We start from the raw sequence: 15578 nt of genomic DNA, 5'->3' as shown, positions 1-15578 counted from the left end.
ACAAATATAGATAAGAAAAGTGGCCAGGTGTGGTGGCTCATGCCTCTAATCCTAGTACTTTGGGAGGCCGAGGCAGACAGATCACTTGAGGTCAGGAGTTCGAGACCAGCCTGGGCAATATGGTGAAACCCCATCTCTATCAAAAATACAAATATTAGCCCGGCATGGTGGTGGGCGCCTGTAATCCCAGCTACTTGGGAGGCTGAGGCAGGAGAATTGCTTGAACCTGGAAGGCGAAGTTTGCAGTGAGCCAAGATCATGCCACTGCACTCCAGCCTGGGTGACAGAGCGAGACTCTGTCTCGAAAAAAGAAAAAAGAAAAGAAAAGAAAAGTAAGGCACTTAGAGGGTAAGTGGCTTCACTCGGTACTAAGTAGGGGAGTGTGGATTTGAGCCAAGCTGTGGGTTCAAACCACATCAACACCTGCTATGCCTGACTGCGTCTCCACGCTGCTGGGAAGGTTGACTGAATCTGCCACTACCTCCCTGGGGTGCATGTGCTTACCAAACCATTGCATTATGTAAAAGGCGGTACTGTAGGTTTTTAGTTTTTTAATTTTTATTTTTTTGAGATAGAGTCTCACTCTGTCACCCAGGCTGGAGTGTAGTGGCATGATCTTGGCTGACTGCAATCTCTGCCTTCCGGGTTCAAGCGATTCTCTTGCCTCAGCCTCCTGAGTAGCTGGGACTACAGGCCCACACCACCACGCCTGGCTAATTTTTGTATTTTTAGTAGAGACAGGGTTTCACCATGTTGGACATCATGGTCTCGGTCTCTTGGGCTCATTATCTGCCTGCCTCGGCCTCCCGAAGTGCTGGGATTACAGGTGTGAGCCACAGTGCCTGGCCTCTAGTGACCTCATTTTAACTTGATCACCTCTGTAAAGACTCTGGTTCCAATAAGGTCACCTCTAAGGTCTGGAGGGTCATGGCTTCAATACATGAATTAGGGGTGGGGGGCACACCATGCAGCCCATAATACTAGCGTATCTGGTTATGTTAAACTTGCTATAGCCACAGTCTCGCTGACTTGGATTATGGTGCCATGGGAAGGGCCCTTAAAGATCATCTTATCTGGTTGGGCTCAATGGCTCACGCGTGTAATTCCAGCACTTTGAGAGGCCAAGGCAAGAGGATCGCTTGTGACCAAGAGTTCAAGACCAGTCTGGGCAACAGAGCAAGATGCTATATCTACTACAGGCATGCACCTGTAGTCTCAGCTACTTGGGAGGCTGAGAGAAGAGGATTGCTTGAGCCCAGGAGGCAACAGAGAGCTGATTGTACCACTGCACCCCAGCCGAGGCAACAGAGAGCTGATTGTACCACTGCACCCCAGCCAAGGCAACAGAGACCTTGTCTCTAAAAAACAAAAACAGGCCGGGTGCAGTGTCTTATGCCTGTATTCCCAGCACTTTGAGAGGCAGAGGCGGGTGGATCATTTGAAGTCAGGTGTTCAAGACCAGCCTGGCAAACATGACGAAACCCTAAAATACAAAAATTAGCCGGGAGTGGTGGTGGGTGCCTGTAATCTCAGCTACTCGGGAGGCTGAGGCAGGAGAATCGCTTGAACCTGGGAGGCAGAGGTTGCAGTGAGCCGAGATGGAGCCACTGCACTGCAGCCTGGGTGACAAGAGCGAAACTCTGTCTCAAAATATTAGGAAAAAAAAAGAGAGAGAGCCTCTTTTCCATCTCCCCGCCACAGAGTTGTCTTCAGTAATTTCATTCCCTTTTTTCCTGAGGATTCACTGGGTTTCTGGGTCCCAGAGGGGAAGTTCTCTTCAAGGTACAGAAACCACGACTCCGCAGAGAACCGCAGAGAATCGCAGAGATGGCAGCATGACCAGACCACGGACAGGTGTGTAGAAGCTGCTGGGCTGAAACTTGGGCTGAACTTCCGCTGCAGGTTGACTTATTCCCATCAGCACCAAAGCCGCTGGAGGGGGTCATCCACTAGCAAATGAAGTGGGGGCACGGATTGGAGGCTGTTTCAGAAGGTCCCACTGAGCCACGGACTCAAGGCCTGGCCACAGCCCTCCCAAGCGAGGCCCAGATCATATTTCACCACGCTCAGAAAACCTTGCCAGCTCATTTCAGTCCACAGTGACTTTGCTTTCTTTAGGATCTCTCTTGCACTGTCCAACTCAGAGAATTTCAAATCTGAATGGATTCCAATGATGGAGCTAAATCAGGCCTCACCTCAGTTTTTTAATTACAATCAATAGGGCTGGGTCCCAGCATCTGTGTCTTAATGTTCCTCCATGTGATCCTCATGCTGAAAGGCTGGTATTTGAAAATCCCTTTTTTTGGGGAGTGAAGGGTTTTTTTAGAGACAGGCCTCACTCTGATGCCCAGCCTGGAATGCAGTGGTGGATCACAGCTCACTGCAGCCTCGAACTCCTGGCCGCAAGAAATCCTCCCACCTTAGCCAACCAAAGTGTTGGGATTGCAGGAGTGACCACTGTGTCCAGCCAGGAAAGCCCTTCTGTTTCACTTGAATGATATTTCTGCCGCAGACCTACAGCCATTGTTGTATTAAACGGCATCATTGCAGGAAAAGAAAAGGTGAGAGGTGACTGTTTTGCTTTTTTCTGAACATATCAGACCAAACCTGGGCTGTCTGGCACTTTTTTTTTTTTTTTTTTTGAGTCGGAGTCTCACTCTGTCGCCCAGGCTGGAGTGTAGTGTCGTGATCTCGGCTCACTGGAACCTCCACCTTCCCGGTTCAAGTGATTCTCCTGCCTCAGCCCCACAAGTAGCTGGGATTACAGAAGTGCACTCCCACGCCCAGCTCATTGTTTCTGTATTTTTACAGAAAAACAGACAGGTTTCACCATGTTGGCCAGGCTGATCTCAACCTCCTCACCTCTGGTTATCTGTCGGCATCAGCTTCCAAAAGTGCTGGGATTACAAGTGTGAGCCGCCGCACCTGGTTTGCCCATTTTTTGACAATGTATCAACATCATCTAAGATGGGCACTGCCTCAGTGTAGTGTGTCTAGACAAGGTGGCCGGAACAGAGAGGAATATGCATACCAGGCTTAAAGACGGGTTAAATCAGAGCTTTTCATTCCACAAAAGAGCAATTTTAATGAGGTCAGAACATGGATGTTCTAATATTTGAAAGCCTGTTAACTAGGAGAGAGAGTAAAGTGATTTGTTGTAGGAGGACACACCCAGCTCTGACGGTTTAAAGCGTCATGAATGCAAATTTGAACTCCAGAAAAGCAGAGCTTCCTAACAATGGGACTTCCACAGCAATGGGATTTCCTTCCGCATTCAGTTTGTGCCTTTCCCATGAGCGAGAGACTCCTAGGAGAGCCGCAGCCCGTTAGGAAGCCATGTGGGAACTCATCCACAGGTTCTTTTTGTTTTTTTTGTTTTTTTTTTTTTTTTGAGATGTAGTTTTGCTCTTGTTGCCCAGGCTGGAGTGCAATGGTGTGACCTTGGCTCACTGCAACCTCCGCCTCCCAAGTTTAAGCCATTCTGCTGTCCCCGCCTCCTGAGTGGCTGGGATTACAGGCACCCACCACCATGCCTGACTAATTTTTTGTATTTTTAGAAGAGATGGGGTTTCACCATGTTGGCCAGGCTGCTCTTAAACTCCTGACCTCAAGCGATCCACCTGCTATGGCCTCCCAAAGCGCTGGGATTACAGGCGTGAGCCACTGTGCCTGGCCGGAACCCACAGGTTCTTTGGATGGTCTCTGAATGTCATGAAACTCTTTTATATTTAATTAAAAAAATTTTTTTGACACAAGGTCTTGCTGTGTTGCCCAGACTGGAGTGCGGTGTCACGATCACAGCTCACTGCAGCCCCTAACTCCTAGGCTCAAGCAATCCTCCTGCCACCTCAGTCTCTCAAGTTGTTGGAACACAGGTGCCAGCCACGACACCTGGCTAATTTTGTTTTGTTTTGTTTTGTTTTGTTTTAGAGATGGGCTCTTGCTATGTTGCCTATACTGGTCTTGAACTGCTGGCCTCAGGCAGTCTTCCTCCCTTGGCCACCCAAAGAGATGGGATTACAAGCATGAGCCACTGTGCACAGCTGAGATTTTTCGACTTAGTCTTTTTGTACACCCAGTATCTTATAGAATATCCATAATATAGATTCATAAATAAACCATTTCCTTCAATGGTATAAATAAATAAACCACTGCTATAAATGGTGGAATTTTCTGAGTTAAGAGCAATACATATGATACAAAACTTGATATATAGAGTTTCTTAGCCAAACTGGAGGGGCTGGCTTTAGGTGATCCGTGGACTCCCTGAAATTGGGGACACCATTGGAAATATGTGTGAACTCATGGGCAGTTTCCTATGATTTCCAGTCCTCAAAATATCTCTTGGACTCAAAGATGCCTTAGGGCAGAGGACGCGTGTACCCCCAGTACAGAATCTCGGACAGTGAATGTCAGTAGACACTCGGCAGAAAACCTCTGCCAAATTGAGTGCTCTGATGTGACTTTTTCATCAAGTCAATGTTCCTGGGATCTCTTGTACATGATAATCTCACTCTTGTAAGGTTTCATCGTTTCTGCTTACCCTACTTTTCTTTCCCATCCTGATCCCTCTCCCACCAGACTGGACTCTGAAACGGGCATGTACAGAGAAGAGGAGACCCCAACACGCTTCAAGCTTTGAGTGGAGAGGACACAGCCTCTGCTGGGACAGGGAACAGAGGGATGCGGAGACCCTGAAGATGCTTTTGGACAGTGGTCTGAGGTTGGGACAGTGGCAGGAGATACCATTCACCCAGGATCTCCAGGACAAGAGATCAGCCTGGCAGTTACATGTGTTTTTTTTCAAACTGGTTGCCAGGTTGGCATGAGCGATGACATCAGAGATTCCGACCTTCCTGATTGGAGGGACCGGACTCTGTCGGCACCTGGGAGTTCAGTTGGACAACAGTAACTTCTCAGAGCTGTTCTCCACTCCTGACTTCTCCCAGCCTCGAGAATTGATAACACACTCTTCTGGATCCCAGCAGTGTCCAGAAGAAGACCAAGGACAGAACAGAGACTAGGTTTGGTGAGATGGGACAGATTTTGGGAAAGATCATGATGAGCCATCAACCGCAGCCCCAGGAAGAGCGGAGCCCCCAGCGGAGCACCTCAGGGTACCCCCTCCAGGAGGTGGTGGATGATGAAGTGTCGGGACCATCAGGTGAGGGGACTGGAGGAAGAAGAGGTGGCATAGGATTGACTAAGATGAAGGAAGGGGGCCAGGCGTGGTGGCTCACCCCTGTAACCCCAACACTTTGGGAGGCTGAGGCGGGCAGATCACCTGAGGTCAGGAGTTCAAGACCAGCCTGGCCAACATGGTGAAACCCCATCTCTACTAAAAGTACAAAAATTAGCCAGGCGGTAGTGGTGTGTGCCTACAATCCCAGCTACTTGGGAGGCTAAGACAGGAGAATCACTTGAGCCTGGGAGGAAGAGGTTGCAGTGAGCCGAGATCGTGCTACTGCACTCCAGTCTGGGTGACAGAGTGAGATGCTATCTCAAAAAAAAAAAAAAAAAAAAAAAAAAAAAGAAGGGTCAGAGGTCAGGAAGGAGAACCTGGGGAGGGTGTGTGGGAAGAATGGAGAAATTCAGGCTGGGTGCAGTGGCTCACACTTGTAATCCCAGCACTTTGGGAAGCCAAGGCAGGCGGATCACTTGAGGCCAGGGGTTTGAGACCAGCCTGGCCAACATGGTGAAACCCTGTCTCTATTAAAAGTACAAAATGGAGCTGGGCATTATGGCAGGCACCTGTAATCCCAGCTACCTGAGAGGCTGAGGCAGGAGAATAACTGGAATCCGGGAGATGCATGTTGCAGTGAGCTGAGATTGCACCACTACACTCCAGCCTGGGTGACAAAGCAAGATTCTGTCTCGAAACAAAAAAAAAAAAAAAAAAAGAGGGACTCAGAGAGCCAGGGACCAGGGAAGGATATGAGGCAGTGTTCTGAGGACAGAGAGAGGGAAGAATGGGGAGGGGAAGGAGTGGCACATGGGGTTGAGCAGAGGAGAAAGTCAGAAAGGTGGCTTGGAGAAGCCAGCAGTCTGCGAGGCTGGGGAGGATGGAGAGTGGTTTGGGGTTTGGGGTCGGGGTCTAACGTGATCAGTTGCAGAAGCATTACACGGTGGCCTGGTTTCTTTACTCAGCCCCTGGGGTAGATCCCAGCCCCCCACGTAGGTCCCTTGGCTGGAAAAGGAAGAGGGAATGTTTGGATGAATCTGATGATGAGCCAGAGAAGGAGCTCGCCCCTGAGCCTGAGGAGACCTGGGTGGCGGAGACGCTGTGTGGCCTCAAGATGAAGGCGAAGCGACGGCGAGTGTCGCTCGTGCTCCCTGAGTACTACGAGGCCTTCAACAGGCTGCTTGGTAGGAGGACACCCCAGAGAGCACCTCCAATCCTGTTCTTTCTAAAGAGGAAACTTCCAATAACCACACTTTTCCAATGGGAAAAATATGCCCCAGTGGGTGAGCTCTCCATGCGGGAGGACTCTGAAGTGATCACTCATGAGGGACACTTAAGGAGACAACAGAGGATTAGGTAGACTTGATAAAGGTCGGTGCTTGGGATAAGAAAGCTTGGTTTTGGGCCAGGCGCTGTGGCTCCCGCCTGAGATCCCAGCACGTTGGGAGGCTGAGGCAAGAGGATTGCTTGAACTCAGGACTTTGAGGCTGCAGTGAGCTATGACTGCACCACTGCACTCCAGCCTGGGTGACAGAGCAAAACTCTGCGTCAAAAGAAAAACCAAGGCTGGGCACAGTAGCTCATCCCTGTAGTTCCAGCTACTCGGGAGGCTGAGACAGGAGAACTGCTTAAACCCAGGAGGCAGAGGTTGCAGTGAGCCAAGATCAGGCCAATGCATTCCAGCCTGGCCCACAGAGCAAGACTCTGTCTCAAAATAAATTAATAAATAAATAAAAATAAAAATCAAATAAAGAAAAACAAAATCAAAAATCAAAAAAGTGGTTTCAGCTGTGCCCTCTGAAACTTAATGTTTCTTACTGACTTTGCTAAACCTAAGTGTCTCCATCCATAGTGGGGGATCCCAAGGCCATGGTCACACCCTGATGTGTGACTGTCTCATGAGGAAATGATGGGAATTCCTTTATGACTCTGCAGTGGTCCCTCCGTGTCTGCTGGAGGGGGTCCTGGCTGATTCCCAGCTCTACATCCTGTAGATTCTCACACCCAGGGCCTCCTTCGGCCTCTTCTCAGGGGAGTCTCAGAGCAGGAGCCTCTCTCCCTTGCCCAGTGAAAGTCATTCTCCCCTCTCTCATCCACCTCACCCGCGGCCACAATCCTGAGACTTTCCCCCGGGAGGCACACTTCTCCTCGCTGCCCTGCTGCTCTCACGGAAACCCTGTCCTGCTTCTCACACTGACATCTGCTCTCTAATCACAGAGGATCCTGTCATTAAAAGACTCCTGGCCTGGGACAAAGATCTGAGGGTGTCGGACAAGGTAAGGTTGTTCTCTATGTAACTGTGTTCCTGTTCTAACGCACGGCCAGGGGGAGGGCGCAGCTTCCAAACCCACAGTTCTCCGTCCACCACCTCCCACCAGATGCTCCTACAGTTTTTTTTTGTTTTTGTTTTTGTTTTTTTTTGTGAGACACAGTCTTGCTCTGCTGCCCAGGCTGGAGGGCAGTGTCTCGATCTTGACTCACTGCAGCTGATGCCTCCTGGGTTCAAGCGATTCTCCCACCTCAGCCTCCAAGCAGCTGGGATTACAAACATGAACCACCACGCCTGGCTAATTTTTGTGTTTTTAGTAGAGACGGGGTTTTGCCATGTTGGCCAGATTGGTCCCGAACACCTGACCTCAGGTGATCCACCCGCCTTGGCCTCCCAAAGTGCTGAGATTACAGACGTCAGCACTGTGTCTGACCAGCTCCCATGGTCTTGAGTCTTGGCACCCACACATTTTTTTTTCTGAGACAGAGTCCAGCTCTGCTCCCCAGGATGGAGTACAGTGGCATGATCATAGCTCACTCTAATTCCTGGGCTCAAGCAATCCTCTTTCCTTAGCCTCCTGAGGAGCTGGGACTAGGCACATGCTACCATGCTCAACTAATTTTTGAAATCTTCTTAGAAACAGGGTCTCGCTGTGTTGCCCAGGTTGTTCTCCAACTGTTGGGCTCACATGATCCTCCTGTCTCCACCTCTCAAAAAGTACTGGGATCACAGGCTTGAGCTGCCACTCCCGGCTATTCTTTGTCTTTTTATGATTTGTCAGCATCTCCGTCAGGATTCTGCTGGTCTCTTGCAGAGTGAATGAGTGGCCCCTGCCTCTCCTATGGGTCCTTTGGGATCTGAGCCCTGGGCCACAGTCTGGCTGCAGCCCTGAAGCTCCTGGGCCCTCTACTCTCAGCTCCTTGGGACAGTTCTCTGCCTGGCACACAAAAGACCCTCCTGACACCAGCCGACCTAGACACACCCCCTCCAAAGATCCCATCGGAGCCCACCATCCTGGGAGCATCACCAAAAACCCTTCCTCCGGCTTCTCGGATTTGCATCCGACCTTCGAATACCCCTCCACCCCGCAATTTCCACATGAGCACAGTCACCCCAACACTGAGGTCCCTTCTCTGATGGGCAACCCCTCCCCAGACCCCCATTCCACTATATCCACAATCTTCCTCTCCCAAGATGTGACCTCTCCCTCTCTGTGTTCCTTTCTCTCCATCAGTATCTCCTGGCTATGGTCATAGCGTATTTCAGCCGGGCCGGCCTCCCCTCCTGGCAATACCAACGCATTCATTTCTTCCTGGCTCTGTGAGTGGTTTGCTGCCTCCTATCCATCAATATCCAATGCCCTGGGACAGCGGGGGAAGTGGGATTCCAGCCTTTCATTTATTCTTTCACCTATTTGTCCTCTTTACTCTGTGTACAAAAAAGACAGGATTATAGTCTCAAAAAAAAAAAAAAAAAAGAACAAAAAACAAAAGGAACCATGAACCGCTCCTAAGGGGAGAAGAAAAGGAGCGGAGGAGCGGACATGACACTTCCCCCAGCAAGCAGACGTTTCCGGTTGTTCTCTCTCCTTCCCACATCAACCGCAAAAGCCATCAGCCTCCTCCGGGTTCCCGTGACAGAGGTCACAGTCCAGGTCCCCCTTGCATCACTCGAATCCACTGTCAAATGCTCCCTGCTGGGGTTTCCTGGAGTCTCTCCCCAAGCCAGGGGGCTTCCTAGTGCAGCCTGAACATCTTTCCAAAGCACGACAACCTCACTGCCCACCTGAACAACTTCCTTAGCTGATGTCTTTCTCTATCGAGGCCAGGGTCCACAGTGCCAATTCCACCCTCTCTACAATCTCTACAACCACACTGGCTCGCCATCTTGGTGTTTCCTGGCTTGGCTTCACTGCTCCTTCCAAATGCCCTCCACTTGACTTTGCATTTGTGTTTTCTGTCTGGGTGTCCCGCACACATGTGGTTCTGAAGGGAAGGACCCATTCCTTGAAGTCGGTTCACCCCACAGCCTCTGTGATGCCTTCCCTCGTCTTCCAACTTCTGCATGCCCGTAGCTCTCCAGTTACATCCTATTATAATGTGACATTGGGATTAGGTCATCTCCCCTGATTACTCCCAGTCCCATTAGACTAGATGCCTGTAGAAGGCAGGGTCCTGGCAAAATATCAGTGTATTCAATTGCTTTTTTTTTTTTTTTGAGACAGACTTGCCCTGTCCCCTAAGCTGGAGTGCAGTGGTGAGATCATAGCTCACCGCAGCCTCCATATCCTGGGCTCAAGCGATCCTCCCACCTCAGCCTCTTGATTAGCTCCGACTACAGGGCTGTACCACCACACCTGGACAGTTATTTATTTATTTATTTATTTATCAAGACAAGAGTGTTGCTGTGTCTCTCAGGCTGGAATGGAGGGGCCCAATCTTGGCTCACTGCAACCTCCGCCTCCTGGGTTCACACAATTCTTATGCTTCAGCCTCCTGAGTAGCTAGGACTAATGGGTGTGCCACCGCACCAGGCTGATTTTTGTATTTTTAGTATAGATGGGGTTTCTCTGTGTTGACCAGGCTGGTCTCAAACTCCTGGTCTCAAGCAATCCACCTGCTTCAGCCTTCCAAAGCGCTGGGATTACAGGCATGAGCCACCACGTCTGGCGTATTTTTTATATTTTTAATAGAGACGAGGGTCTTGCTATGTTGCCCAGGCCTGTCTCAAACTCCTGGCCTCAAGTGATCCTCCTGCTTCGGCCTCCCAGTGTGCTGGGATTCCAGGCATAAGCCACCACTCTTGGTCACCAGTTGGGTTTTTGTCTCCATCCTGAAGGAGTGGGAGACGCCCTTGATCAGGTCTCTGTCCAGCAGAGCCCTCCTGAGGAAGGCGTGGCTCTCTGCAGGGTGGGTGCCAGTCCTGAGCTAGGGACGGTCCCTTACCTTCCTCTCTGAGAAGCTGACCTCAGCCGGAGGTCTCTCCTGGTGGTGCCCCTGAGCAGCAACCTGATTTCTGTCCTCAGCTATCTGGCCAATGACATGGAGGAGGACGACGAGGCCCCCAAACAAAACATCTTCTACTTCCTGTACGAGGAGACCCGCTCTCATATACCCTTGCTCAGTGAGCTTTGGTTCCAGTTATGCCGTTACATGAACCCGAGGGCCAGGAAGAACTGCTCTCAGATAGCCTTGTTCCGGAAGTATCGGTTCCACTTCTTTTGTTCCATGCGCTGCAGGGCTTGGGTTTCCCTGGAGGAGTTGGAAGAGGTGGGTGGGGCCTGGGGACGTGGAGGATGTGGGGAGGAATCGGGTGGGCTGGAGGCTGGACGAGGGGAGAGAGGGGTATCCTGGGGAGTCCCCGTCTTCTCAAAGCGCGTTTGTTTTTCCAGATCCAGGCTTATGACCCAGAGCACTGGGTGTGGGCGCGAGATCGCGCCCACCTTTCCTAGAGCTCCAGGGACCGTGGAGGCCTGAGGTCATCGGCCTGAGAGAAGGTACATCTGCATCCTCCGGGGTAAAGGCAGAATATTGGGGTCTATTTCGGAAATCCAAGGAACCCAATTGCTTGATCTGGCTTCAAGCCTGGGCAACGTGGCGAGATCCCCTCTCCACAAAAATACAAAAATTAGCCAGGCGATGTGGGAGGCATCTCTACTCCCAACTACTCAGGAGGCTGAGGCGGGAGGATCGCTGGAGCCTGGGAGGTCGGGGCTGCAGGGAGCCCTGATCCTGCCACTGCACTCCAGCCCGGGCGACAGAGTGAGACCCTGCCTCAAAAATAATCATAAATACTGAGTTCGGGGAGGTTCATTATGATTGATGCACTTGAGTTACCGATTTGGGTCGAGGGTTCAGTGAAGCTTTGGTTTACATCTTGTGCAGCTAACCATGTTGAGCACAGAGCATGAGACTTCGTCATGAGGAGGGAGGATTATGGATTAGGCTTCTGGACTCGTGGTTCGTGATGTTGTCACGTTAGAAACAGATCTAGCACGGTTACAAGTTTAGATCTGAAGTGACACAAAAGGCCCCAGCTGTGATGAAGTCCAAAGCCACATTCTCTGAGGGTGCCCTACTCCCTGGGAAGACCCACCCAAAGTCCTGGCTATGAAGCAGATCACTGGGGCTGACCTTGGGTGTATTAAGTTTTGGAGTCAGGGTCACCAAAGTGTGAGTTTCACAGTTGAACACGATGGTTCAGAAGCAGGGTATAGAATGAAAGGCAGGAGATAAAATTGCACTTCTCAATTGCTCTGAACTCTAGCTAGACTTGACATGGGACGTGAATAACCTTCCTGTCTAGAGAGCTGCCTCCTTGAAGTGTGACATTGTCTCTCTCACTTCCAGAACACCGGACCCAGGGGAGATGTGGATTTTCAGCAGGAACTTTATTCCAATGCTAATGGCAGACATCAGGAAGGAGGAGAGGAACCATTTGTGCAGATCATCTAGAAGAACCTGGACCATTCTTGACAGAGCTGAATACAGTGATCACGTTGTCCTCCAAGGAGCAGGGGTGGGGTGGGGTACTTCTAGGAGTCCTTGGAGAAAAGTAAGAAACCAGGAGTGTTTCCAGTTCCACCCTTTCCTGCGGCACCACCTCCCTTTTTATATTGCTGAATGCCAACCTCCCTGGGGCGGAACCTGGAGGTCCTGTTTCTTATGGACTTGGTTGTCACAGTCCAGGAGCATTTGAAGGCACAGTGCAGGGGCTCAGATTGGCACAGAATTCTTTGTGAAATATGAGTGCCACAGACTGTAACAGATAGCTTCATGCACACTATGCATTTTATTGGTTTGTTTGGAAAATGTTGGCCATTGAATTATTAATAGGTTTATTTCAAATAGTTTGGAAATTGTTGTACTTTTGAAAACATGCTGTTCCTGTAGAGTTTTTTGATGAGAGTTATAGTTGTTATATATACCTAAAGATAATTTTCTTTTCATTTTTAAGTGAGAATTCTTTTTATCCTAAATCTTTTATTATCTTTAATTTTTTTTCTGTATTATTATATGTGCTCCTGAAGCGAGCACTCTTTTTATCTATGATACTTCCATAATAATCTCTTCTATTTATAGCTATTGGTAGTTCCCCACCAGAAAAAAACATAATTCTGGTGATAGAAATTTTTATTTGCTGTTTAGGTTTGTGACTGACTTGTGAGAATTCAGTTGTGATTTTTAACATGTCTCAGATATATATACTAACACGTCTAATATATACTATCTATTTTATTGGTTTATTTTGAAAAACATGGGTATAGAATTATTTAAATATTATTTTATTTACTGAAATATTTATTAAATATATTTATTTATTTAAATATTATTATTACTTTAAATATTATTTTAAATATTTTGGAAATACTGGTATTTTTGAATAGATGCTGTTTCTATAAAGCTGTGTGATGGGTATTATAACTGTTGTATACACATACATATAATTTTGTTTTCCTTTTTAAGAGAGGATTCTTTTCATCCTAAATCTTTTACCTTTCAATCTTTGTATCTATTATTACACGTGCTGCTGAAGGGAGCATGGTTTTTATCTATGATACTTAGTTAACATATATATTACATTTATAGCTATGTGGTAGTTCCCCTAAATTCTTGTAAAAATAAATTTTTATTTGATATTTAGTGTATGTTTGAAATGTGAGAATTCAGATGGAATTTTTTATCTTGTTTTGGCATGTTTGTATGTTACTTTAAAGAGGATGTGTGTTCTAAAGGAGGACATGAGCTGTGTGTTTTCAAGAGAACAGTGCAGTGCATCTCTTGGGGAAACATAATAAAGATGAACTTTTCTCACCTTCACAGTGAGTGTGATCATATTGTGGTCTGGATTGATTATTTGCTGTCAAGTGACATTTTTCCTTAATGGGGTTGTGGTTATTTGAACATATTTATTAGCTTTGGAAGATAATCCTGTGCTGTTTTTTATGTAGAAAAAAACATACGGCTGGGTGCAGTGCTCACACCTACAATCCCAGCAGTTTTGGAGGTCATGGCGGGAGGATCACTTGAAGCCTATTTTTAATTTTTATTTTTTAAAGAAAAACAACAGAAGAGAAGGCTGATCCCAAGCTACAGGGTTTTTTTGTTTGTTTGTTTGTTTGTTTGTTTTGGAGACAGTCTCGCTCTGTCTCCCAGGCTGGAGTGCAGTGGCACAACCTCGGCTCCCTGCAACTTTCACCTCCGCGTTCAAGCAAATTCTCCTGCCTCAGCCTCCCAAGTAGCTGGGACTACAGGCATCCGCCTGTACGTCTGACTAACTTTTGTAAAAATAGTAGAGACAAGGTTTCACCATGTTGGCCAGGCTGGTCTCAAACTCCTGACCTCAAGTGATCCACCCGCCTCAGTCTCCCAAAGTGCTGGGATTATAGGCATGAGCTACTGTGCCCAGACCCCAAGCTAGAGTTTTAAAGCAGGAAATGAGAGAAAGATATTGAGAGAGGAAAACCAGGTGGTAAGAAAACTCTAAAGGTGGCTGGGCGTGGTGGCTCACGCCTGTGATCCCAGCAGGAGTTCGAGACCAGGCAGGAGAATCACTAGCAGAGAATATGTCTCCCCAACCCCTCTCAAAAAAAAAAAAAAAAGTCCAGGCGCGGTGGCTCAGGACTGTAATCCCAGCACTTTGGGAGGCTGAGGTGGGTGGATCATGAGGTCAGGAGATCAAGACCATCCTGGCTAATACGGTGAAACCCCATCTCTGCTAAAAATACAAAAAATTAGCTGGGCGCGGTGGCAGGCGCCTGTAGTCCCAGCTACTCCGGAGGCTGAGGCAGGAGAATGGTGTGAACCCAGGAGGCGGAGCCTGCAGTGAGCAGAGATCGCGCCACTGCACTCCAGCCTGGGTGAAAGCGCGAGACTCCATCACAAAAGAAAAAAAAAAAAAGAAAGTTCCTGCAACAGTTCAAGCTGTGAAAGACAGGCACTCTGCCATGCAATTCTTTGTGATTTTTCTTTTTTATTTTTGGAGTCGGGGTCTTGTGCTGTCACCCAGACTGGGGTGCAGTGGTGCGGTCATAGCTCACTGTGGGCTCAGACTCAAGCTCAAGCAATCTTCTTATCTTGCCTTTCTAATTGCTGGGATTATAAGCATGAGCCACTGCACCTGGCCTGTGTGACGTAATTCTGATGTCAACTCCCTGATGTTACATCAAATGCCACAGGTTAAGGCCACCAGCCCCCGCTAGGCTGCCCTCGCTTCAGATGCAGCTGCAAGCTTGGGTGTCCACAGACCGCATGTACTTCTCACCAACTGGCTGCAAATTTGGAGGTTCCCACCACGTCCTCAGGTTTGATAATTCACCATAACAACCCACAGAACTCTGAAAAGCATGATACTTTCTCTTTCTTTATTTGAGACAGAGTCTTGCTCTGTCACCCAGGCTGGAGTGCAGTGGCCACCATGCTTGGCTAATTTTAGTATTTGTATTAGAGACAGGGTTTCGCCATGTTGGCCAGGCTGGTCTTGAACTCCTGACCTCAGGTGATCCACCCACCTTGGCCTCCCAAAGTGCTGGGATTACAGGCATAGCCACTGTGCCTGGCTGACTTCTAGAGTTTCAATAACAGAGATGTGGTTCAAGAAGAAAAGGGAGACATGTTTTGTAGACAGCAGGAGCTTCATGAAAAGAAGCCAATGAAGGGCAGGATGTGTAGCTGTCTACCTACAGGAAACCAGCCAGGAGCCTCCCCACAGGGACTTCAGCACAGATGGCCGGGAAAATCTGCATTCACCTGAGCTCTGGACCTAAGAGAGGACAAGGCCTTGACTGTTTCTACAGACTCACAAGATGCAATCTCTGCGGTCCATGCCCGTGGTGTGATCTGGGAAACAGGGGGCCTTCTAAATGCCAACAACAAGGAAATCAAATGTGCAACAGACAGAAATATCGGCATTGACACGGGCCATGGAGAGGCCTAAACAGATGACTGCAGTCCACTGCCAAGGTCATCAAAGGGGTGACTCTGAAATAAGAAATTTCAGACGCCACGGCCCAAATAGCTGCACGAGGTGGGGAAGTCCTCCACATGCCTCTGCTTCCTTCAGTACCTCTTCATGAAATAAGCCGAGGTACTTCCCTGGGGAATTTCCTTTCTCTTTCTTTCTTTCGAG

The 15578-nt window shown here is 48.7% G+C and overlaps 1 protein-coding gene across 1 annotated transcript; it reads left to right on the top strand.

Annotated features, from left to right (window-relative positions):
* The first annotated feature begins 3234 nt into the window (after positions 1–3234).
* On the top strand, positions 3235–13282 carry SPDYE8 (speedy/RINGO cell cycle regulator family member E8). The gene is made up of 8 exons (NM_001382525.2): positions 3235–3356; positions 4582–5164; positions 6148–6366; positions 7400–7458; positions 8686–8771; positions 10477–10720; positions 10843–10947; positions 11801–13282. The coding sequence occupies exons 2-7, from the start codon at positions 5035–5037 to the stop codon at positions 10900–10902; spliced, it is 798 nt and encodes a 265-aa protein (NP_001369454.1). The 5' UTR covers positions 3235–3356; positions 4582–5034; the 3' UTR covers positions 10903–10947; positions 11801–13282.
* Positions 13283–15578: the final 2296 nt, after the last annotated feature.

Source organism: Homo sapiens, chromosome 7 (genome assembly GCF_000001405.40).
Source record: "Homo sapiens chromosome 7, GRCh38.p14 Primary Assembly".
NCBI lineage: Eukaryota > Metazoa > Chordata > Mammalia > Primates > Hominidae > Homo > Homo sapiens.
The sequence above is the reverse complement of the archived record's forward strand: the minus strand, read 5'-3'. Positions and strand labels throughout refer to the sequence as shown.